At 39.4% G+C, this 23,389-nt stretch overlaps 1 protein-coding gene across 16 annotated transcripts in view; it reads right to left on the reverse strand.

Annotated features, from left to right (window-relative positions):
* The window catches only part of LIN9 (lin-9 DREAM MuvB core complex component), a 78,619-nt gene that overhangs the window by 11,305 nt on the left and 43,925 nt on the right, over positions 1-23,389 (reverse strand). For 9 of the 16 annotated variants that reach the window (XM_047418546.1, NM_001366240.1, NM_001366238.1 and 6 more), the window contains 2 exons: positions 23,080-23,181; positions 8,386-8,466 (listed from right to left, as the gene is read on the reverse strand). In XM_047418546.1, the coding sequence (XP_047274502.1) occupies positions 8,386-8,466; positions 23,080-23,181 (183 nt within the window). Of the gene's footprint in view, positions 1-5,561; positions 5,751-8,385; positions 8,467-23,079; positions 23,182-23,389 lie in introns of those variants that run through there. The other 7 variants (XM_017001084.2, XM_024446565.2, XM_047418553.1 and 4 more) reach the window with 3 other exon arrangements.

Genomic DNA, 23,389 nt, shown 5'->3' on the forward strand with positions numbered 1-23,389 from the left:
TCTAAATATTAAAAGAAACTATAAAAGTATCATGAGAAGACAGGAGAATATGTTTATGAATAAGAGGTAAAGAAGCTATTTTAAACAAGTTACAAATACCAGAAAAAGGAACAGGCTGATATAGAGCTGACCCTCAGACAACACAGGTTTGAATGGTGCAGGTCCACTTACATTACTTATATGCAGACTTTTTTTAAAATTAATTTTTGCAACAGCCTACCAGATCGTATAGATGCAGACTTTTTCAAAAGTTACAGCAGTGTGCCTGCTTCTCCTGCCTTCCCTTCCATCTCCTCTACCTCTTCTGCCTCTGCCACCTGAGACAGCAAAACCAACCCCTCCACTTCCTCCTTCTCCTCAGCCTACTCAACGTGAAGATGACAAGGATGAAAACCTTTATGATCTACTCCCGCTTAATGAATAATGAATATGTTTTCTTTACCTTATGATTTTCTTAACATTTCCTTTTCTCTAGCTTACTTTATGTAAGGATACAGTATATAATGCATATAGAAGATATGTGTTCATCTACTATTTAGGTTATCAGTAAAGCTCCTGGTCAACAGTAGGCTATTAGTAGTTAAGTTTTAGGGGAGTCAAAAGGTATATGCGGATTTTTGACTGCTGGCGGGGGTTGCACCCCTAACCCCCATGTTGTTTGAGGGTCAACTGTATTTGACTACATCAAAATTTAAATTTTCTGTACTATGGTAACATGCGAAACAAATAATTTTGTTAATATAAATGGCCAATTAAAATACAAAAAGATGCTTAATTCCACTAGTAGCCTTAGAAATACAAAATAAAACAATGAGATTTATATTTCACCTATCAGATTGCTAACAATTTAAAGATCTTCTAACACTAGGATTGAAGAGAGTGATCTATATTTACTGATACTATACAGTGAAAAGCAGAATGTTACATAGTATAAAATTTATTTAAAAATGTCTGCCCTTGGCCGGGCATGGTGGTTCAGGCCTGTAATCCCTGCACTTTGGGAGGCCAAGGCGGGCAGATCACTTGAGGTCAGGAGTTCGAGACCAGCCTGGCCAACATGGTGAAACCCCATCTCTACTAAAAATACACAAAATTAGCTGGGCGTGGTGGTGCGTGCCTGTAATCCCAGCTACTTGGGAGGTTGAGGCAGGAGAATCGCTTAAACCCAGGAGGTAGAGGTTGCAGTAAGCCAAGATTACAGCACTGCACTCCAGCCTGGGCAACAGAGCGAGACTCCGTCTCAAAAAAAAAAAAAAAAAAAAAAGGTCCCCTCCTCAAAAAAACCCAATAGTATATATTCTATAGGTATTTATACATTAAAAAATAAATACAAAGAAAGAAAAACACACATGAAACTCAATAAGAATGGTAATTTTTTAAAGAAAAGTATATTCATTTTACACATATACACATACAATTAAAAATTATTATTATTTTTTGAGATGGAGTCTTGCTCTGTCGCCCAGGCTGGAGTGCAGTGGCACAATCTCGGCTTACTGCAACCTCCACCTCCAAGGTTCAAGTGATTCTCCTGCCTCAGCCTCCCGAATAGCTGGGATTACAGGTGCAGGCTACCTGCGCCGGGCTAAGTTTTGTATTTTTACTAGAGGTGGGGTTTCACCATGTTGGCCAGGCTAATCTCGAACTCCTGACCTCAAGTGATCCACCCACCTCAGCCTCCCAAAGTGCTGGGATTACAGGCGTGAGCCACCGTGCCTGGCCTAAAAATTACTTTTGGAGGTGGAGGAGGGTAGATCACTTGAGGCCAGGAGTTAAAGACTAGCCTGGCCAACATGGTGAAACCCCGTCTCTACCAAAAATATAAAAAATTAGCCGGGCGCGGTGGCGCATGCCTGTAATCCCAGCTACTCGGGAGGCTGAGGCAGGAGAATCGCTTGAACCTGGGAGGCAGACGTTGCAGTGAGCCGAGATCGTGCCTCTCCACTCCAGCCTGGGTGACAAAGCAAGACTCCGTCTCAAAAAATAAATAAATAAAATAAAAACAAGTCAAAAATATGACATTCAATTAGGCTTGTATGAATAAGGTGAGGCATTTGAACCATTAGAAATAACTAATACATTCTGATAAAAAACCAGGTATGATCACAAAGTAATGAAAGATTTTCTTGTGTGGCTTACAGGTTCATGTTGAAGGCAAACAGTCTGTAAAAATATGAGCTTATAAGGGACAAGATGGAAAATATCAGATTTAGCAGTTCATGATCAAGGGTATGGATTTATTTGACTAGTCCTCTACAGATATTCATTTAACCATTTACAATTTTTTGCTATTACAACAATGCTGTGATGAACATCCTTGTATGCGCATCTTCTGAATGATACTCTAGAAGTAAAATTTCTGGCCCGTCAGTATGGCCAAGCTACCTTCCAAAAAGACTTCAATTAACTTATATTCCCACCTAAAGTGTATAAACATGCTCCTTCTTGATGAACATTCAGGTTGTTTCTAACCTTCAGATCTTGCAAACATGCTGCAATGAACATGTAGTCATTTTGGACAAAGGCAAACATAAGTGTAGAAGTTTCCAGGAGTGCAACTGCTAAATCAAAGGATTTGAGCATTTTAAATCTTGATAGATATTGCCAAAGCACCTGTAGAGGCCAGAGGGAACTCCCCTTCACCATCTGAAGGCTCACTGAAAATCACTGACAAAAGAGAGATTAATAGGAAAAAAGGCATACACATTTATTTGGTTATAATTTTATGTGACGCCAGAGTCTTCAGAATGAAGAATACAAAATAAACTGTCAATTTTTGTGCTTAGGTTCACAAAGCATATGGACAGTGGTATAGAAATATGATTGGACACAGGAGACTGAGGCATAAGAATTGCTACACCCTTCATAAAAGATGTACTAATTTATGTGTAAGAATGCCTACTTGTCTACATCCTCACCAATACAGTGTTTTGTTAAAGTTTCTTAGTTCTGCCAGTCACATACTTGTCTTTTTTCCCCCCCCCCAAGAAACAGGGTCTCACTCTGTCACCCAGACTGGAGTTCAGCGGTACCATCCTAGCTCACCACAGCCTCAAACTTCTGGGCTCAAGCAATCCTCCCCCATCAGTCTCCTGAGGAGCTGGAACTATACCATGCCTGGCTAATTTTTCTAAAAAACAAAAATTTTTTTTTTTTGAGACTCAGTCTTGCTCTGCTGGCCAGGCTGGAGTGCAGTGGCGTGGTCTGGGCTCTCACTGCAACCTCTCTCTGCTTCCTGGGTTCAAGTGATTCTCCTGCCTCAGCCTCCTGCGTAGCTGGGATTATAGCTGTGTGCCACCACGCCTGGCTAATTTTTGTATTTTTACTAGAAACGGGGTTTGGCTATGTTGGCCAGGCTAGTCTCAAACTCCTGGCCTCAAGCAATCCAATGGCATGAGCCATTATACCCAGCCCCAATTAAACATTTTTATTGTTCCATTTCCCACCTACTTCCCCCTAATTAGCTTGATAAATATTCATCTTTTACTATTATTTTAATAGGTTAGAGATTAAAATGTCATCCATCTTTGATTTATCTAGGCCTATATGTATATACACCCCTACCCTGACCAACAGACAATTGTATAATTCTCTCTATACTTTAAGTGCCACAAGAGTTATTTAATGTGTCACTTAGATTAATCCACATATTTACCCTTTTTGTTGTTTCTTCATTCCCTGAATCTTCATGTTTCTTTTACAAACTTCAAGTTTTTTCTTCTGCTTAAACAAAAACTTTAGTATTTCCTTTAATGTAGGTATTCTGGTAAGAAAGTCCATAAATTTGTCTACAACTGTCCTTGTAACTTTATCCTTGAAGGCATTTTCACTGGTTATGGAAATCTAGGTTGGTAGTTATTTTGTTTCAGCCCTGTGAAGATGTCATTCCATTATCTTCTGTCTTCTATTGTTTCTGTGGAGATGGTAGCTCTCAGACAAATTGTTGGTTGCTCGTTTGTACATACTCCCCACTCCCATCCTGCCCTGGGTACTCTAACATTTTTTCACTTTGTGTTTAGTTTCAGCAGTTTTAAGATAACGTGCCTAGGTCGGGCGCGGTGGCTCACGCCTGTAATCCCAGCACTTTGGGAGGCCAAGGCTGGTGGATCATGAGGTCAGGAGATCGAGACCATCCTGGCCAACATGGTGAAACCCCGTCTCTACTAAAAAAAAAAAAAAAATACAAAAAATTAGCTGGGTGTGGTGGCAGGCGCCTGTAGTCCCAGCTACTTGGGAGGCTAAGGCAGGAGAATGGTGTGAATCTGGGAGTCGGAGCTTGCAGTGAGCTGAGATTGTGCCACTGCACTCCAGCCTGGGTGACAGAGCGAGACTCTGTCTCAAAAAAAAAAAAAAAAAAAAAGATAATGTGTCTAAAAGTCACTATCAATTTATTTATCTCATTGGGGTTGATAGGAATTTATCTGTGGCTTGTTGCCTTTTGACGGTTTTGGAACGCCTTTAGTCATTATCTTTTAAAATACTGCTTTTGTCCCATTCTTTCTTTTTCCTTCTGCTATTCCGTTACACATTAGACCTTCCTCACTGTATTTCCTATTTATCGTCTCTTCTCTTCTAAATTTTCCACTCATTTTTATCTTCATGTTTCATTCGGGATATTTTCTTCTGATCTATTTTAAATTACTAGCTCTCTCTTTAGCTGTTTCTAATCTGCTGTGGTTGTATCCACCGAGTTCTTAATTTTGATTGCTAGAGTTTATAGTTTTCATTTGGTCTTTTTTATTGTTGTTTCCAGTTCTCTTCTAAAATTCTCAATTTTGTCTCATCTCTTTTAACAAATTAAGCATTTAAAATATATTTCTAAAAACTCCATTGTCTAGTCTACCTACTGTCTACAGTTGATTTTCTTTTTTCCTTAGGGTTATTGTGTCTCCTATTGTGTCTTGAATTTAAATTGAGTTTTAGATACTATATATAAAAATTTATAGAAATAATTTGAGGCCTATAAAAATGCTATATTCCTCCAAAGAGGACTTAAAGTTTGCCAACTTCTCCCAACCCTTGGTGGGTCTCTGGACTCTAATTTTGGCCTCCAACCCACTTAAGCCTTTCAAGAATGCCACTTAGCTTCTCAGCTAGCTTTTCTGGAACTTGCAGAAGTCCCCAAGGAAAAAGCAACCCTGAACATCAGGTTCCCCCTTACTTCTTTCCTTCTTTTCCCAGATCCTATAATTCCTTAATGCCTTGTTGTTTGTTTTCTTTCTTTTTTTTTTTTTTTGAGACAGAGTCTCGCTCTGTTGCCCAGGCTAGAGTACAGTGGCACAATCTTGGCTCACTGCAATGTCTGCTTCGTGGGTTCAAGCGACTCTCCTGCCTCAGCCTCCCAAGTAGCTGGGATTACAGGTGCACACCTATCACACCCAGCTAATTTTTTTTATTTTCAGTAGAGACAGGGTTTTGCCATGTTGGCCAGGCTTGTCTTGAACTCGTGACCTCAAGTGATCCACTCGCCTTGGCCTCCCAAAGTGCTGGGATTACAGGTATGAGCCACTGTGCCAGGCCTTCTTAATGCCTTGTTAATGCTCCAGTGTTCTTCAAGCAGGTTATTTTAATATTTTATTCCAGAGGAAACAGTTATTTACAGCAGGAAGGTTAATCCAAATTACCTAGTCTACTCTTACCAAAAGCAGAAAAAAACCTTAACTTTCCCCAAATAGTACATTCAAATTCTTTAGAGAAGTGCTTCTTTCTCTCCATTTAACTTGAGTAAATGCCACGTTTGAGTTCTGTCACTGAGATGAAGAAGGGGAACAAGGAGAAAGACCTTGAATTAATTGCCTTTTAAAATACTAATCTCACTTCTGCACTTCATCATATTTGCCAACTCTGGATCTAGGGCCTCTTGTAGCTATGGTTTCTGTTTCATTTAAAAACATGCCAGAAAAAATTTCGAAATCTCATAGACATTGTTAAGCAGACTGCTTCATTTTTTCTGTTTACTTCTTTTTGTACCTCATATTCTATGTGCAATTATAAAGGATATGAAAAAAATTTGTTCAGCCTACCATCTTTAAATTAACTTTCATTAAATCTTTCATTTTACTTTCTAAAATTTATCCTACAGATAGACACAAACAAATGCACAAAAATATTAGCATTATATTAATAAAATGCTGGAAATAAATATGTTAACAGGAAGTTGTTTAAATTATGGTACAATACAATCATTTTAAAAGATAAGCCAATATATCATAATTTAATTCCATTTTGCATGAAAATAATTTTTAGTATATGCACAGAAAAAGAAATCCATATGGTAAACATATAAATAAACATATTTATAACATATGCTAACTTAATACTATTTATGGAGAAGGCATTATAAAGAACTACAGTTTGACTCATTAAATCATTTCATAATATTTGAATTTTTATAGGGAAACTATTTTTACATAAATAAAACAAATAATAAAACATATCAAGCCAACTAGATTACTTCTACAGAGTTCTCATATGCTAAGAAGCCAAGCCAACATCAAAACGGTCTCTGGGAATACAAATTCGTTTTACACTGAAGCCTACATCTCCTTGGTTTGCGAAACAACCCAAAATAGGTCTCTATTTGAAAGCAGATAAGATTAACTGGGCAAAGGCAAGCCCAGTGCTTTAAAGCATGGAACTTAGAAGAAAACAGTCCTAACTAGTGATATTAAAGGGAAATAATTCATTTATACATAAAGATAGAAGAGATGATAAGGTGACCAGAGAAAAACAGAAGTGGGGTGGAAGAGCACTGAAAAGGCATCGAATATAAAGGGCAGAAGTAGAACTGATGGAAACCAAGAATTAGAGTCCAGTAGGAAAGAAGCACGCACATACATTTCTATGTTTAAGATATGTAATGGCAATATGCTATAGCTAATCCTTTTCATTTTCGGATGGCTTGTGTATCTGATAATACTAATTTCATGTTATGCTTAAATGAGTTAAACTGGGAAATAAACCCAAGTTTTAATACCTGTACTGCTAAAGAGAGCAGTATGATCTTACGCTGAAATCACCTGACATTTTTGGTCTTAAAAATTCAGTAATTTTTGGATAAAAAAAATTCTATAATCCTAAAAGAGGATTGTTCTTTATTCACTTAGGTATCTACTTTTGCAGCTGTAGATACCTAACTGTATCCACACCTATACCCTTATAACATTTCATTCCAGAGATTCCCAGTGCCACTATTCCCATTCCTGCACTTACAACAGACACTGATCATCAGTCACAGCACTTTGCCCCTTGAGCACAGTCAGAGCCCTCCCTTTCAGACTTCTATACAGTCATTTTCAATAAACTGGAGATAGTACATGAGATAAAACCTATTTGCCATCCTACATATCCTTAAGCAAGATGTGAATTTCATTACAATTCAAAGACTTTCTTAGTGAATAGTGCCTACATAAACAGCTTTTTAAAAAACTCTGGGCCGGGTGCTGTGGCTGGCTGGGTGCTGTGGCTCACACCTGTAATCCCGAGGTGGGTGGATCACCTGAGGTCAGGAGTTCCAGAGCAGCCTGGCCAACATGGCGAAACCCCGTCTCTACTAAAAATACAAAAATTAGCTGGTCGTGGTGGTGTGCGCCTGTAATCCTAGCTACTTGAGAGGCTGAGGCAGGCGAATCACTTGAACCCGGGAGGTGGAGGTTGCAGTGAGCCGAGATTGCACCATTGCACTCCAGCCTGGGCGACGAGCAAAATTCCATCTCAGAAAAAAAAAAAAAAAGACTTCTGGTAATTATCTTATGAATAAAATTGGCTCTCATTTTTTGAACTCATTAGATAATAAATTAGGATATAAACGTTGTCAAGATAACCTAAAGATGACAACATAGATATTTCCTGACTTACTTATTCTGAAACATTTTTTATAACCTGCCATTACAACTTCCTTGGTCACAGGTATCTGAGCAATTCTAGACTCATGCAAACTGCTGAAAGAACCTAATATATCCATTAATCCTATTCAACTGTACAGTCAATGGCATAATGAGGTCTGGGGCAATGCACTGCCAATTTACTTAGCATATGTTCTGTATAACAAGAGATAGTGATAGCAATGAAGATTTACTGTTGTATGTATGTATGTATTCCTGTATTCATTCATTTACTGAGACAGGGTCTCGCTATCACCCAGGCTAGACTGTAGTGGTAGAATCATAGCTCACTGCAGTCTCTGACTCTAGACTCAAGCAATCCTTTTGCTTCAGCCTCCCAAGAAGGTGGACTACAGGTGTGGACCTCATGCAAATGAGGATTTAAAAATAATATTTATCTGAAGGTTTCCTTCCATAGATATTTTTAAATCATTAGATATAGATGGTCTCACTATTTTAAAATTAGACAAGCAAATGAAGAAAAAAAAAGAGAAATTCTTACCAATTTTTCTGCTTCTGTGTTCATTTCCCTTAATTTCTTGATATGTTCCTTTTTAATCATGAGAATTTTTGATAATCTGGTCTACAGACAAAGAAGAAATATTTTAGAATAAACAGAGGCATTTAGGTATATTGGTTAGACATTAAATTTCCAATATTTTAGTAAGATACTTCAGCAATAGATTTTAGTGTTTCAACATATATATATAGCATAGCATTGTTTTGGTTTTTTTTTCTGAGACAGAGTCTCCCTCTGTCACCCAGGCTGGAGTGCAGTGGCACAGTCTTGGCTCACTGCAACCTCTGCCTCCCAGTTCAAGCAATTCTCAACTCAGCCTCCCGAGTAGCAGGGATTACAGGCACACGCAACCATGCCTGACTAATTTTTGTAATTTTTTTTTTTTTTTGGAGACGGAGTCTTGCTCTGCTGCCCAGGCTGGAGTGCAATGGCGTGATCTTGGCTCACGGCAACCTCCGCCTCCCAGGCTCAAGCAATTCTCCTGCCTCAGCCTCCCGAGTAGCTGGGATTACAGGCACCCGCCACCATGCCCAACTAATTTTTGTATCTTTAGTAGAGATGGGGTTTTGCCATGTTGGCCAGGCTGGTCTTGAACTCCTGACCTCAGATGATCCACTCACCTTGGCCTCCCAAAGTGCTGGGATTACAGGCATGAGCCAGGGCACCCAACCATTTTTGTATTTTTAGTAGAGACAGGGTTTCACCATGCTGGCCAGACTGGTCTCGAACTCCTGACCTCAAGTGATCTGCCCATCTTGGCCTCCCAAACTGCTGGGATTACAGACATGAGTCACCACACTCAGCGTCATAGCACTGTATTTTATATATCTGATTAAACCGACAAGCAAATATTATTTTAAAAATCCATTGTAACTAGGACATGTCAAAAGGACTAAGGAGTCAATCTGAACAAGCTTTCACTGGTCCAAAATAGGGCAATTTGCAGACCAGTAAGAACAATAACTGAAATGAACTAAAGCCAAATGTTAAAATCCATGAGTTACAATGATACTTAGGAAGAAGAAATAACACAGTGAGAGCAAGTCTGAAATCTTATTGAATGAATGGATCTAAGCATTGATAATCAATGGCAGCTAACATTAAAAAATAATTAGGTCAGAGATGCAGTGGCTCACACCTGTAATCCCAGTACTTTGGGAGGCCAAGGCGGGAAGATCACTTAAGCCCAAGAGTTTGTGACCACCCTCAGCTTCCCAAGTAGCTGGGATCGTGAGTCTAGGAGTTTGAGACCTCATCTCCACAAAAAATAAACAAAATTAGCTGGGTTTGGTGGCTTGCATCTGTAGTCCCAGTTACTCAGGAGGCTGAGGTGGGAGAACTTTGAGCCTGGGAGGTGGAGGATGCAGTGAACTGAAATCATGCCACCGCACTCCAGCCTGGGCAACAGAGCAAGACCCCATCTCAAAATAAATAAATAAATAAATAAATAAATAAATAAATAAATGAATGAATGAATGAATGTCTCCTATCAAAAGAACACAAAACCACCTGTAAAAGTAGTCACATAAAAACAATCAGCCAACCAAAAAACCTAAATCCGTCAAACCTCTAGAAATAATTTTCAATTTACGTTAAGATACAAAGAACATGTTAAATAATCCCACAAGGATTTAGTCAAAAAATCGAGACTGTGGGAGACTGTATGGATAAATAATCCAGTTTCTTCAATAAGTTGCATGGAGAAAAAAGGCACTCAACATTTAAAAAACAACTGAAAAATCTGAATACCAACTGAATATTTGATATTGACATTTAAATTTTTATAGATGTAATGATGGTATTGTAGTTACGTTGCTTAAAAAAAAGAAATCCAGGCCAGGTGTGGTAGCTCACGCCTATAATCCCAGCACTTTGGGAGGCGGGTGGATCACCTGAGGTCAGGAGTTTGAGACCAACCTGGCCAACATAGTAAAACCCCGTCTCTACTAAAAATACAAAAATTAGCAGTGCGTGGTGGTGGACACCTGTAGTTCCAGCTACTCGGCAGGCTGAGGCAGGAGAATCGCTTGAACCCGGGAGGCAGAGGCTGCAGTGAGCAAAGTGGCGCCACTGAACTCCAGCCTGGGGGACAAGAGCGAAACACCCTCTCAAAAAAGAAATCCCAGCTGGGCACAGTGGCTCACACCTATAATCCCAGGACTTTGGGAGGCAGAGGTGGGAGGATCACTTGAGTCCAGGAGTTTGAGACCAGCCTGGGCAACACAGCAAGACCCCATCTCTATGAAAAAGTAAAAAATTAGCCAAGTGTGGTGGCGCCCACCTGTAGTCCCAGCTACTCAGGAGGCTGAGGCGGGAGGATTGCTTGAGCCCAGGGGTTTGAGGCTGTAGTGATCTGTGATCATGCCACTGCACTCAGCCTGGGTGACAAAGTGACTGAAACCCTGTCTCAAAAAAAAAAAAAAAAGAGAAAGAAAGAAAGAAAAAAATGTATCTCTCTTTTTTTTGGAGATGGAATCTTGCTCTGTCGCCCAGGCTAGAACGCAACTGCATGATCTTGGCTTCACCTCCCAGGTTCAAGGAATCCTCATGCCTCAGGCTCCCGAGTAGCTGGGACTACAGGCTCGCACCACCACGCCTGGATAATTTTTGTATTTTTAGTAGAGATGAGGTTTTACCATGTTGGCCAGGCTGGTCTTGAACTTCCTGACCTCAGGTGATCCATTAGCCTCAGCCTCCCAAAGTGCTGGGATTACATACAGGCATAAGCCATCATGCCTGGCCAAAAAAAGGGTTATCTCTTAGAAATAAATAAAAAGGGCCGGGTACGGTGGCTCACGCCTGTAATCCCAGCACTTTGGGAGGCCAAGGTGGGTGGATCACCTGAGGTCAGGAGTTTGAGACCAACCTGGCCAACATGGTAAAACCCCATCTCTACTAAAAATACAAAATTTAGCCGGCATGATGGCAGGCACCTGTAATCCTGGCTACTCAGAAGGCTGAGGCAGGAGAATCACATGAACCCAGGAAGCAGAGTCTGCAATGAGCTAAGATCACACCACTGCACTCCAGCCTGGGCAACAGAGTAAGATTCTGTTTCAAAAAAGAAAAAAAAGAAAGAAAGAAATAATAAGGCCGGGTGTGGTAGCTTATAGCTACCCAGGCTGAGTGCAGTAGCGTGATCATGGCTCACTGCAGCCTCAACCTCCTGGGCTCAAGTGATCTTCCCACCTCAGACTCCTGAGTAGTAGGGACTACAGGGGCGTATCACCACACCTGGCTAATTTTTGTATTTTTTTGTACAGATGGGGTCTCACTATGTTGCCCAGGCTTGTCTTCAACTCCTAGACTCAATCCTTGTCTATGTTGCCCAGGCTTGTCTTGAACTCCTAGACTTCCAATCCTCCCAGCTTGGCCACCTAAAGTGCTGGGATTGTAGGTGTGAACCACTGTGCCTGGCGGCAAAACATTTTTAATGTTTATTTTGTCATAAGAAAAAATACATTTGGAACAGCAAAAAAATCAAAATATCAACTTCACTTAAGAGCAAAACTGAGAGTTTTATAAAACCTCACATACTATAAAAGGTAGGGACATAAAATAACTTTTATTTTTACCTCTTAAGTATCTTAAAATAATAGTGGAAGTAGTATTTTAACTAGGCTTTACATATAGATTATAAATTTTAAATTAAGTACTAAAATCAAATACATAGACTTTCAGTTTACAGTCTGGGATATAAGAAGCTGGGAAGGTGCTACTCCATCCTAACACCAGGTAAAAAGCTGACATACTTAAAAAAATCAATGACACTTGGCCAGGCGCGGTGGCTCACGCCTGTAATCCCAGCACTTTGGGAGGACGAGACGGGCGGATCACGAGGTCAGGAGATCGAGACCATCCTGGCTAACACGGTGAAACCCCATCTCTACTAAAAATACAAAAAATTAGCCGGGCGTAGTGGAGGGTGACTGTAGTCCCAGCTACTCGGGAGGCTGAGGCAGAAGAATGGCGTGAACCCGGAAGGCGGAGCTTGCAGTGAGCTGAGATCGTGCCACTACACTCTTGCCTGGGCGACAGAGCGAGACTCTGTCTCAAAAAAAAAAAAAAAAAAAAAAGTCAACGACACTTCTTAGATCTCTAAGAAAATTGAGGGCCAAGGCAAACTGTTCACAAAATTGGAAAGAATGAAAGGCAAGTATGTAGAATCACAATTTACTGGAGCAGAAACCCATGAGCAAAAACCTCTAGGAACCAGTGCTTGGGTAGGGAAAACTGAACTGTAATATATGTGGTAGGTGCATTAAGCATTTACTCTACGGGACCCAGTTAGGAGGCTTTTTTGAAAAGCATACTTTGTGAGTTTTACTTCCAGGGGCTTAATCTGGTTCTTAGTGAATACTGCAGAAATACTCCCTCTTGCTTCCTGCAAGGGGAAGGAAAACTAACGATTTTGAATTAAGATGGAGCATTCTGTTCTTAGCAAGGCCTGCCCTCAGGAAAAACTATTTAACCAGAAGCTAACATGCTAGGGTTTTATCAGAGGCTTACTGACCTGGGGGAAGAGAAAAACCCAACCCCAGCCCACTCTAGCCACCCCGTACCACATAAGAGGAGGAAAAACTGAGGTGCATTTGTGAAGTTCATAGTCCAGAGGCTCAGGCTGACACAGTTCCTTTTACATAGTACATCATGTTTGGCAATTAAGAAAAAATTACAAGGTACGCCAGGAGGCAAAAAAAAACATAGTTTGAAGAGACAAAGCAAGCATAAAAACCAGCCTTAGATATGGCAGGGATGTTGAAATTTGAAAGAACTATGAGTAATAAGCTAAGGCCTCTAATGGATAAAATAGCATGCAAGAACAGATGGGCAATGCAAGCAAAGAGATGAAAATTTCTCGAGCTTGAGGATATATTATTTATTTTTCTTTTTTTTCTTCCACAACAGTTATCTCAGAAGAGGATATATTAATAGGAACTTCCAAAACTAAAAAACAAAGAGAACAAAGACTGAAAAAATCAGCACAGAATGTCCAAGGATTGTGGGACAACTACAAAAGGTATAACTTATGCATTAATGGAAATACAAGGAGAGGAAAGAGAGAAAAAAAGGAAGAACTATCTGAAATATAATGAATGAGAATTTCCCCAATTTAATGTCAAATACCAAAGCAAAGATCTAAGAATCTCAGAGAATACCAAGCAGAAGAAACACCACAAAAACCTCTAGATTTACACATATCATATTCAAACTACAGAAAATCCAAGATAAAGAAAAATTCTGGTCCAGCTATGGTGGCTCACACCTCTAATCCCAGCACTTTGGGAGGCTAAGGCGGGCAGACTGCTTGAGCCTAGCAGCTCGAGACCAGCCTGGACAACATGGCAAAACCCCATCTCTACATACTAAAAAAAAGGAAAAAAAAATCCTGAAAGAAAACACTTTACCGATAGAGGAGCAAAGATAAGAACTTCATCTGACTTCTTCTTAGAAACCAGGCAAGCAAGAGGAGACTGGAGTGAAATATCTTGCGTTGAGAAAAAAAATCTGGCAATCTAAACCTCTGCACCCTATGAAATTATCATTCAAAAGTAAAACAGGACTGGGCATCATAGCTCACGCCTGTAATCTCAGCACTTTGGAAGGCCAAGAGGGAGGACTGCTTAAGCCCAGGAGTTGTGCAGCAGCCTGAGAAACACCGCCAGACCTTATCTCTACAATAATAAATAAAATAAATATATATATATATATATTTTTTTGAGACAGAGTCTCGCTCTGTCACCCAGGCTGGAGTGCAGTGGTGCGATCTTGGCTCACTGCAAGCTCCGCCTCCTGGGTTCACAACAGTCTCCTGCCTCAGCCTCCCGAGTAGCTGGGACTACAGGCGCCCACCACCATGCCCAGCTAATTTTTTGTATTTTTAGTAGAGACAGGGTTTCACCATGTTAGTCAGGATGGTCTGGATCTCCTGACCTCGTGATCTGCCCACCTGGCCTCCCAAAGTGCTGGGATTACAGGCATGAGCCACCGCACCCGGCCAATAAAATAAAATTTTTTTTAAGTGAAAGAAAAATACTTTCTCAGAGAAAAAAACTTGAGAAAATCTGTCGCCAGTAGGACTGCCTTGTAAGAAATGATTTTTTTCTTTTTTTCTGAGACGGAATCTTGCTCTGTTGCCCAGGCTGGAGTGCAATGGAGCGATTTTGGCTCCCTGCAGCCTCCACCTCCCAGGTCCAAGCGATTCTCGTGCCTCAGCCTCCCAAGTAGCTGGGACTATAAATGCCACCAGGCCCGGCTAATTTTTGTATTTTTAGTAGAGACGGGGTTTCACCATGTTGGCCAGGCTGGTCTCGAACTCCTGACCTCAAGTGATCTACCCACCTCAGCCTCCCAAAGTGCTAGGATCACAGGCGTGAGCCACCACACCTGGCCAGAAATGTTAAATGATGTTCTTTAAAGAAAAAGAAAATTTTATATGTCAGAAACTCAGATATAAATAAAGGAAATGTATCAAAGAAAGAATACGTTGAAGGTAAAATACAAACTTTTATTTTCCTTATTCCTAATTGTTCCAACAGATAACAGTTTGTTCAAAATAATAACAGCAACAGCATATTTGATTATATATGATTATGTGTATATATGCTTATGCATGCTTAGGTATAAATAAAATAATGAGAGCAATGATACAAAGGAAAGGAGGGATGAATTAGGATTATTTTGTTATTATCAGGTACTAGCACTACCCATGAAGCTGTACAGTGTTATTTGAAAGTGGATATGGATTAGTTGTAAAAGTATATAATGTAAACTCTAGGGCAACCATTAAAGAAAGCTAAAAGAAAAAAAAGTATAACCTATATGCTAAGAAAGCAGAGAAAAATGGAATTATATAAAGTAAACCATAAAACACAAAAAAAGAGTGGAATATAAAAATAGAAATAAAGAATATGAGCAACAAATAGAACATAGTAATAAACACGGTAGATATTTATTACTATATGATAATCCAACTACATCAACAACCACTTTGAAATCTACTTTAAACATAAAGACACAGATAGATTAAAAGTAAATGGATGAAGGCCAGGTGTGGTGGCTCATGCCTATAATCCCAGTACTTTGGGAGGCCGAGGTGGGTCCCATCGCTTGAGCCAAGGAGTTCAAGACCAGCCTGGGGTACACTGACACCCCATGTCTATACAAAAAATACAAAAATTAGCAGGTGTGGTGTCTTGTGCCTGTAGTCCCAGCTACTTGGGAGGCTGAGGTGGGAGGATTGCTTAAGTCCAGGAGGTTGAGGCTGTAGTGAGCCACCGCACTCCAGCCTAGGCTACAGAGGGAGACCCTGTTCTCAAAAACAAACAAACAAACAAACAAACAAACAAACAAACAAAACAGGGCTAGTCTCAGTGGCTGACACTTGTAATTCCAGCACTTTGGGAGGCTGAGGCAGGCAGATTTCTTGTGGTCAGGAGTTCCAGACCAGCCTGGCCAACATGGTGAAAACCTGTCTCTACTAAAAATACTAATATTAGCCAGATGTGGTGGAGGACGCATGTAATCCTAGCTACTTGGGAGGCTGAGGCATGAGAATCATTTGAACCCAGGAGGCAGAGGCTGCCTGGGTGACAGAGCAAGACTTTGTCTCAAAAAAAAAAAAAAAAAGTAAATGGATAAAGAATATGCCATGCTAACACTAATCAAAAGAAAGCAGGAGCAGTTATATCAATTTCAGACAAAGCTGACTCCAGAGCAAGAAAAGGTGTCAGGAATAAAAAGGGGCATTATGGCTGGGTGTGGTGGCTCACACCTGTAATCCCAGCACTTTGGGAGGCTGATGCGAGCGGATCACAAGGTCAGGAGATCGAGACTGTCCTGGCTAACACGGTGAAACCCCGTCTCTACTAAAAATACAAAAAAATTAGCCGGGCATGGTGGCGGGCACCTGTAGTCCCAGCTACTCAGGAGACTGAGGCAGGAGAATGGCATGAACCTGGGATGTGGAGCTTGCAGTGAGCCGAGATCACGCCACTGCACTCCAGCCAAGGGTGACAGAGCAAGACTCTGTCTCAACAAAAAAAAAAAAAAAAAAAAAAAAAAAAAAGGCATTACATAATGAGAAAGGGGTCAATGTTCCAAGAAGACATAATAATTTTTTTTTTTTTTTTGAGACAGAGTCTTGCTCTGTCACCCAGGCCAGAGGGCAGTGTTGCAATGTCAGCTCACGCCTCCTGGGTTCAAGCAATTCTCCTGTCTCAGCCTCCCAAGTAGCTGGGATTACAGGTGTCTGCCACCACACCTAGCTAATTTTGTATTTTTAGTAGAGACGGGGTTTCACCACATTGGCCAGGCTGGTCTCGAATTCCTGACCTCAAGTGATCTGCCCGCCTAAGCTTCCCAAAGGGCTGGGATTACAGGGGTGAGCCACCACACCCGGCCAACAATACTTAATATTTATATGCCTAATAACAGAACATCAAAACATGAGGCAAAATGATTAACTATTGACAAATAGATCAATCCACCATTATAGTTGGAGATTTTGATACCCCTCTATCAGAAATGAACAGATTCAATGGGCAGAAAATCAGCAAGGACATAAACTCAACAATACCATCAATTAACTGGATATAATTGGTATCTATAGACTACTTCATCCAACAACCATAGAATATACTTTCTACTCAAGGTCGTGCGGAAAATTCATGAAGAGCTCATTCTGGGCCACAAAACATACCTTAACAAAATTAAAACAATAGAAATCATACAATGTATGCTCTTACACCACAATGAACTTCTACTAGAAATCAATAACAAAGAAAGCTGTAAAATCCGAAGATATGTCTAAATAATACGAGTCAAAAAAGCAATCTAAAAGAAGAAATGAAAAAATATTCTGAACTAGATAAAAATAAAAAGACAACTTGTCAAAATTTGTGTGATGCAGCCAAAGCAGTGCTTAGTGGGAAACTTGTAGTATCGAATGCATATATTAGTAAAGAAGACTTAAAATCAGTAATTTAAGCTTCCACCTTAGGAAACTAAAAAAAAAAAATAGGAAATTAAATACAAAGTAATCAGAATAATATAAACTAGAGCAGAAATCAATAAAATTGAAAACAGAAAATAGAAAAAAATCAACAAAACCAAAAGCTGGTTGTTTAAAAAGATCAATGATACTGATAAGCCTCTAGCTAGGCTAAGAAAAAAGAGAGAGGACACAAATTATTAATTTCAGAAATGAAAAAGGGGCATCACTACAGATCCTATGGACTTTAAAAAGATAAACTCCTTGAAATTTCTAAATTTGCACAAGAAAAAAATGGAAGGCTCTGAATAGGCTTATATCTACTAAATAAATTGAGTCAATAATTAACCTTCCAAAACAGATAGCACCAGGCCCAGATGGGTTCACTAAGGAATTCTACTAAACATTTGAGGAAGAAATTATACCCAACCTCTGTTATGTTTTAGAGGATAGAAGCAGAGGAAATACTTCCTAACTCTTCTCCAAGGTTAGCATTACCTTAATACCAAAATCTGACAAAGACACAGTGAAAGAAAACTATAAGCCAGGCACAATGGAATGTACTCATAGTCCTAGCTACTGGGAGGCTGAAGTGGGAGGATCACTTGAACCCAGGAGTCTGCGCCTAGCCTGGGCAACATAGATCCCCTGTCCAAACATGAAAAGAAAAAAACTATAGATCAGTATCTTTCATAAACACAGATGCAAAAATCCTCAATAAAATATTAGCAAATTGAATCCAATGATGTATAAAAGAATTTAAGATCACGGCCAAATGAGTTTTTTTTTTTTTTTTTTTTTTTTTTTTTTTTTTGAGACAGTGTCTTGCTCTGTCACCCAGGCCGGAGTGCAGTGGCACGAACTCGGCTCACTGCAAGCTCCGCCTCCCAGGTTCACGCCAGTCTCCTGTCTCAGCCTCCCGAGTAACTGGGACTACAGGCACTGGCCACCACGCCTGGCTAATTTTTTTGTATTTTTAGTAGAGACGGGGTTTCACCATGTTAGCCAGGATGGTCTCGATCTCCTGACCTCGTGATCTGCCTGCCTCGGCCTCCCAAAGTGCTGGGATTACAGGCGTGAGCCACCGCACCCGGCCCCAAGTGAGATTTACCTGAAGTATGCAAGGCTGATTCAATGTTTGAAAATTAATTAATATAATCCATCACATCAGTAGGCTAAAGAAGAAAAATATGATCAGATTGATAGAGGCAAAGTATTTGACAAAATTCAACACTCATTCATGATAAAAACTCTCAGTAAGCTAGGAATAGACAACGTCCTCAACCTGATAAAAAAAAAAAAAATCTACAAAAAAACCTCATGTCTAATATCATACTTAATGGTGAGAAACTAGAAGTTTTCCCACTAAGATCAGGAAGAAGGCAACAATGTCCTCTCTTATCACTCTTTTCAACATCATACTGGAAGTCCTAGCTAATGCAATAAGATAAGAAAGAGAAATTAAAGGTAGAATTGGGAAGGAAAAAAACAACTATCTGTTTTAGGCGGGTGACATGACTGTCTACGTAGACAATCTGAAAGAAATGAGAAAAAAAAAAAATCCCTGGAACTAATAAGTGACTACAGCAAAGTTGCAGGATACAAAGTTAACATACAAAAGTCAATTGCTTTGTCAAACAATAAACAATTATGATGTGAAATTAAAAACACAGTATCATTTACCTTAACACCCCCCAAAATGAAATACTTAAGTATAAATCCAACAAATATGTACAAGACCTATGTGAGCAAAACTCTGATGAAAGAAATCAAAGAACTAAATAAATAAGAGATATTTCATGTTCATGGATAAGAAGACACAACACTGTCAAGATACCAGTTCTTCTCAACTTGATCTATAAATTCAATTCAATACAAGTCAAAATCCCAGCGAGTTGTTTTATGGATATTGACAAAATGATTCTAAAGTCTATATTGAAAGGCAAAAGACCTACTATAGCCAACACAATATTGAAGTAGAAGAACAAAGTTGAAGGACTGACACTATTCAACTTCAAAACATACTATAAACCTACAGTAATCAAGACAGTGTGGTAGTGGCAAAGAATAAAATAAAATAGATCAATGGAACAGAATAGAGAGCCCAGAAATAAATCCACATAGTCAATTATCTTCAACAAATGGGCAAAGGCAGTTGCGCAACAAATGGGCAACAGTGGAGAAAAGTCAAGTCTTCAACAAATGGTGCTGCAACAACTGGACATCCACAAACAAACAACAAAAAAATGAATCTAGACAAAAACCTTACACCTTTCACAAAGGGAATCACAAACATAGATGTAAAATCCAAAACTATAAAACTCCTAGAAAGTAACACAGGAAAAAAAATCTAGATGACTTTGGTTTTGTGACAACCAACTTTAGATATGACATCAAGGGCATGATCCATGTAAGAATGAAATGATGAGCTGAACTTCATTAAAATTAAAAACTTCTGTTTGGTTAAAGACATTGTAAAGAGAATGAAAAGACAAGCCACAGACTGGGAGAAAATATTTGTAAAATATACATCCGATAAGGAACTGCTTTCCAAAATATACAAAGAACTCTTAAAACCCAACAATAAGAAAACAAACAATTGGATTAAAAAATGAGCCAAAGACCTTAACAGACACCTCACCAAAGAAGATATACAGATGGCAGATAAGCATATGAAAAGATGGTCAATGAGGAAATGTATATGTCATCAGGGAAATGCAAATTTAAATAATAAGATACCACAACAAACCTATTAGAATGGCCAAAATCCAGAACACTGACAACACCAAATGCTAACGAGGATGTGGAGCAACAGGAAATCCCATTCACTGCTGCTGGGAATGCAAAATGGTACAGCCACTTTAGAACACAGCTTGTCAGTTTCTTATATAACTAAGCATACTCTTACCATATGAACCAGCAATTACACTCCTTGGTATTTACCCAAAGGAGCTGAAAACTTACGGCCACACAAAAACCTGCACACAGATGTTTATGGCACCTTTATTCATAATTGCCAAAATTTGAAAGCAACCAAGATGTCTTTCAGTTTGTCAATGAGTAAATAAACTGTGGTACATCCCGACAATGTAATATTACTCAATGCTAAAAAGAAATGAGCTATCAAGCCACGAATAGACATGAAAGAAACTTAAATGTATACTAGTAAGTGAAAGAAACCAATATAAAAAGGCTATATACTGTATGACTTCAAATATATGACAGTCTGCAAAAGATAAAACTATGGAAACAGTAAAAAGATCAGTGATTTCCAGGGGCTCAGGGGAAGAGATAAAAAGGTGAAACACAGAAGATTTTTAGGGCAGCAAAACTACTCTATATGATACATAATGGTGGATACATGATATTATACATTTGTCAAAACTCTTAAAATGTTCCACATCTTTAAATACATTAATGTGAACTATGGTCTTTAGGTGAAATGATGTGTTAATGAAAGTTCACTGACTGTAACAAATGTACCATCTGCTGGGAGATAATAGGGGGAGACTACACATGTGTGGGGTCAGGAAGTATATGGGAAATATCTGTATCTTCTTCTCAATTTTGCTATGAACCTAAAATTGGTCTAAAAAAATAAAGTGTATTGAATTAAAAATCAAATATAACAAGGATCGATAAAAATATCACATAGTGATATTTAGACATAGTGTAGTAGTACTTAGCTTCTGGCTCCCTTTGCTTATTGATCTCTCTCAAACTCTCTCACACACACAACACCTGTTCAAATATAACATATTAGCTTTGTTTTTACTTCTACTATTTAAAAGAAAAAATTAAAAACAAGTGTCTTCTTTGTGAAAAGAATAAGTCTTTGCTCTTATCACATTTTCAATCTTTCATATAAAATATCCATCTGCCTTGAGAAGCCAAAGGTATAAGAAATTTTATATTGCAAGGATAACTAACAATATATCATTGGCTGGGCATGGTGACTCAAGCCTGTAATCTTAGCACTTTGGAAAGCCAAGGTGGGAGGAACATTTGAGCCCAGGAGTTCAAGACCAGCCTAGGTAACATAGTGAGACTCCATCTCTACAAAACCAATAAAAAATATATTAGCTGGGAGTGGTGGTACATGCCTGCAGTCTCAGCTACTTGGGAGGCTGAGGTGGGAGGACTGCCTGAGACTGGAGGTTAAGGCTGCAGTGAGCCATAATGGCACCCCTGTACTCCAGCCTGGACAACAGAGCAAGACTTTGTCTCAAACAAACAAATAAATAAATAAATAGGCCAGGTGCAGTCGCTCATGCCTGCAATTCCAGCACTTTGGGAGGCCGAGGGCGATCATGTGAGGTCAGGAGTTTGAGACCAGCCTGGCCAACATGGTGAAACCCCGTCTCTACTAAAAATACAAAAAATTAGCTGGGTGTGGTGGCGTGCGCCTGTAATCCCAGCAACTTGGGAGGCTGAGGTGATTCCACTGGAACCCGGGAGGTAGAGGCTACAGTGAGCTGAGATCGTGCCACTGCACTCCAGCCTGGGAGACAGAGTGAGACTCTGTCTCAAATAAAATAAATAAACAAATAAATAAATAAATATTAAATAAAAAAATGTGATTGAGGAACACAGAATGCTATATACAGACACACAACTGACAAGACCTTTCCTCAAAATAACATCAACTGCAAAAGAACACTGTGAATATTTTCATGGATTATGTTATAAACATTTTTATTTATAAAGATCATATCAGCCAGGTGCAGTAGCTCACACCTCTAATCCCAGCACTTTGGGAGGCCAAGGTGGGGGGATCACTTGAAGTTAGGAACTGGAGACCAGCCTGGCCAGCACAGTGAAACCCCATCTCTATTAAAATTACAAAAAAAATTAGCCGGGCATAGTGGTGCATGCCTGTAATCCCAGCTACTCAGGAGGCTGAAGCAGGAGAAAAGCTTGAATCCAGGAGGTAGAGGTTGCAGTGAGCCCAGACTGACCCACTGCACTCCAGCCTGGGCAACAGAGCAAGACTCAGTCTCAAAATGAATAAATAAATAAACAAATGAAAATAAAGATCATTTCTATCCCAAGCCAAAGTAGTTTTCATTTTCCAAAAAGGAAATGAAACATTATTAGACTATGATTCAAACTAAAAAATTTATTTAATCTAATTTTCAAACTCACTACATTTTTAAGAGTCCAGCTATAAGGAAATTTTCCAATATAATACTTCTACACTTAGTTCAGTTTAGGCTTAGATTTCTTAGTGTCTAATCACTAAGTACTTAGCAGGTGAATACCTGTTTCTAGTCTCTGAAAAGAAATAAAATTTCTTCTAACCATATAAGCTAGCCAGGACATCATAACTGTTGAACTGACTGATGATGGCAGAATATGCTGAGGTTACTAAATAAAAGCCTTCATAGTTACCCAAGTTATTAACAGCCAAACATTCAGAATTTCACAGAACATATGCAAGAATGTTTGAGCCCTTAAAATAGCAGAATAATAAGAACTCAGACACAAGACAAAGCTCAAGAAGAAAGATCTTTAAGTCTTTTTTGGTTTTTATAACTTTTATTTTCAGGCTTTGTTGGAAATAGCAGCTCTTAAAACCTACACGGTGATAAACCTACACGGCCCTAGAAAAATTTTCAACTTTAATAACATAAAAGGCATTGAGTTTTTAAACAAACAGCCAAGATATTCAGAACAATTCTTACCACTTGGATAAGAAATTCTACTGGAAAACCACCTAATGTTTCAGTGTCAGAGCCAGAAATTTTACTTCTCCACGGCGACTGTCCTAATAAAGGATCATTATCCTATGGGAATAAAAAGGAATTATTTAATCATTGACTATTCAGAGGAAGTATCTTATTTTTTTATTTTTATTTTTTTTTAGACGGAGTCTCGCTCTGTTGCCACTTGTGATCTCGGCTCACTGCAATCTCTGACTCCTGGGTTCAAGCGATTCTCCTGCCTCAGCCTCCCGAGCAGCTGGGATTACAGGCGCGCGCCACCACGCCCAGC

Source organism: Homo sapiens, chromosome 1 (assembly GCF_000001405.40).
Source record: "Homo sapiens chromosome 1, GRCh38.p14 Primary Assembly".
In the NCBI taxonomy this organism is placed as follows: domain Eukaryota; kingdom Metazoa; phylum Chordata; class Mammalia; order Primates; family Hominidae; genus Homo; species Homo sapiens.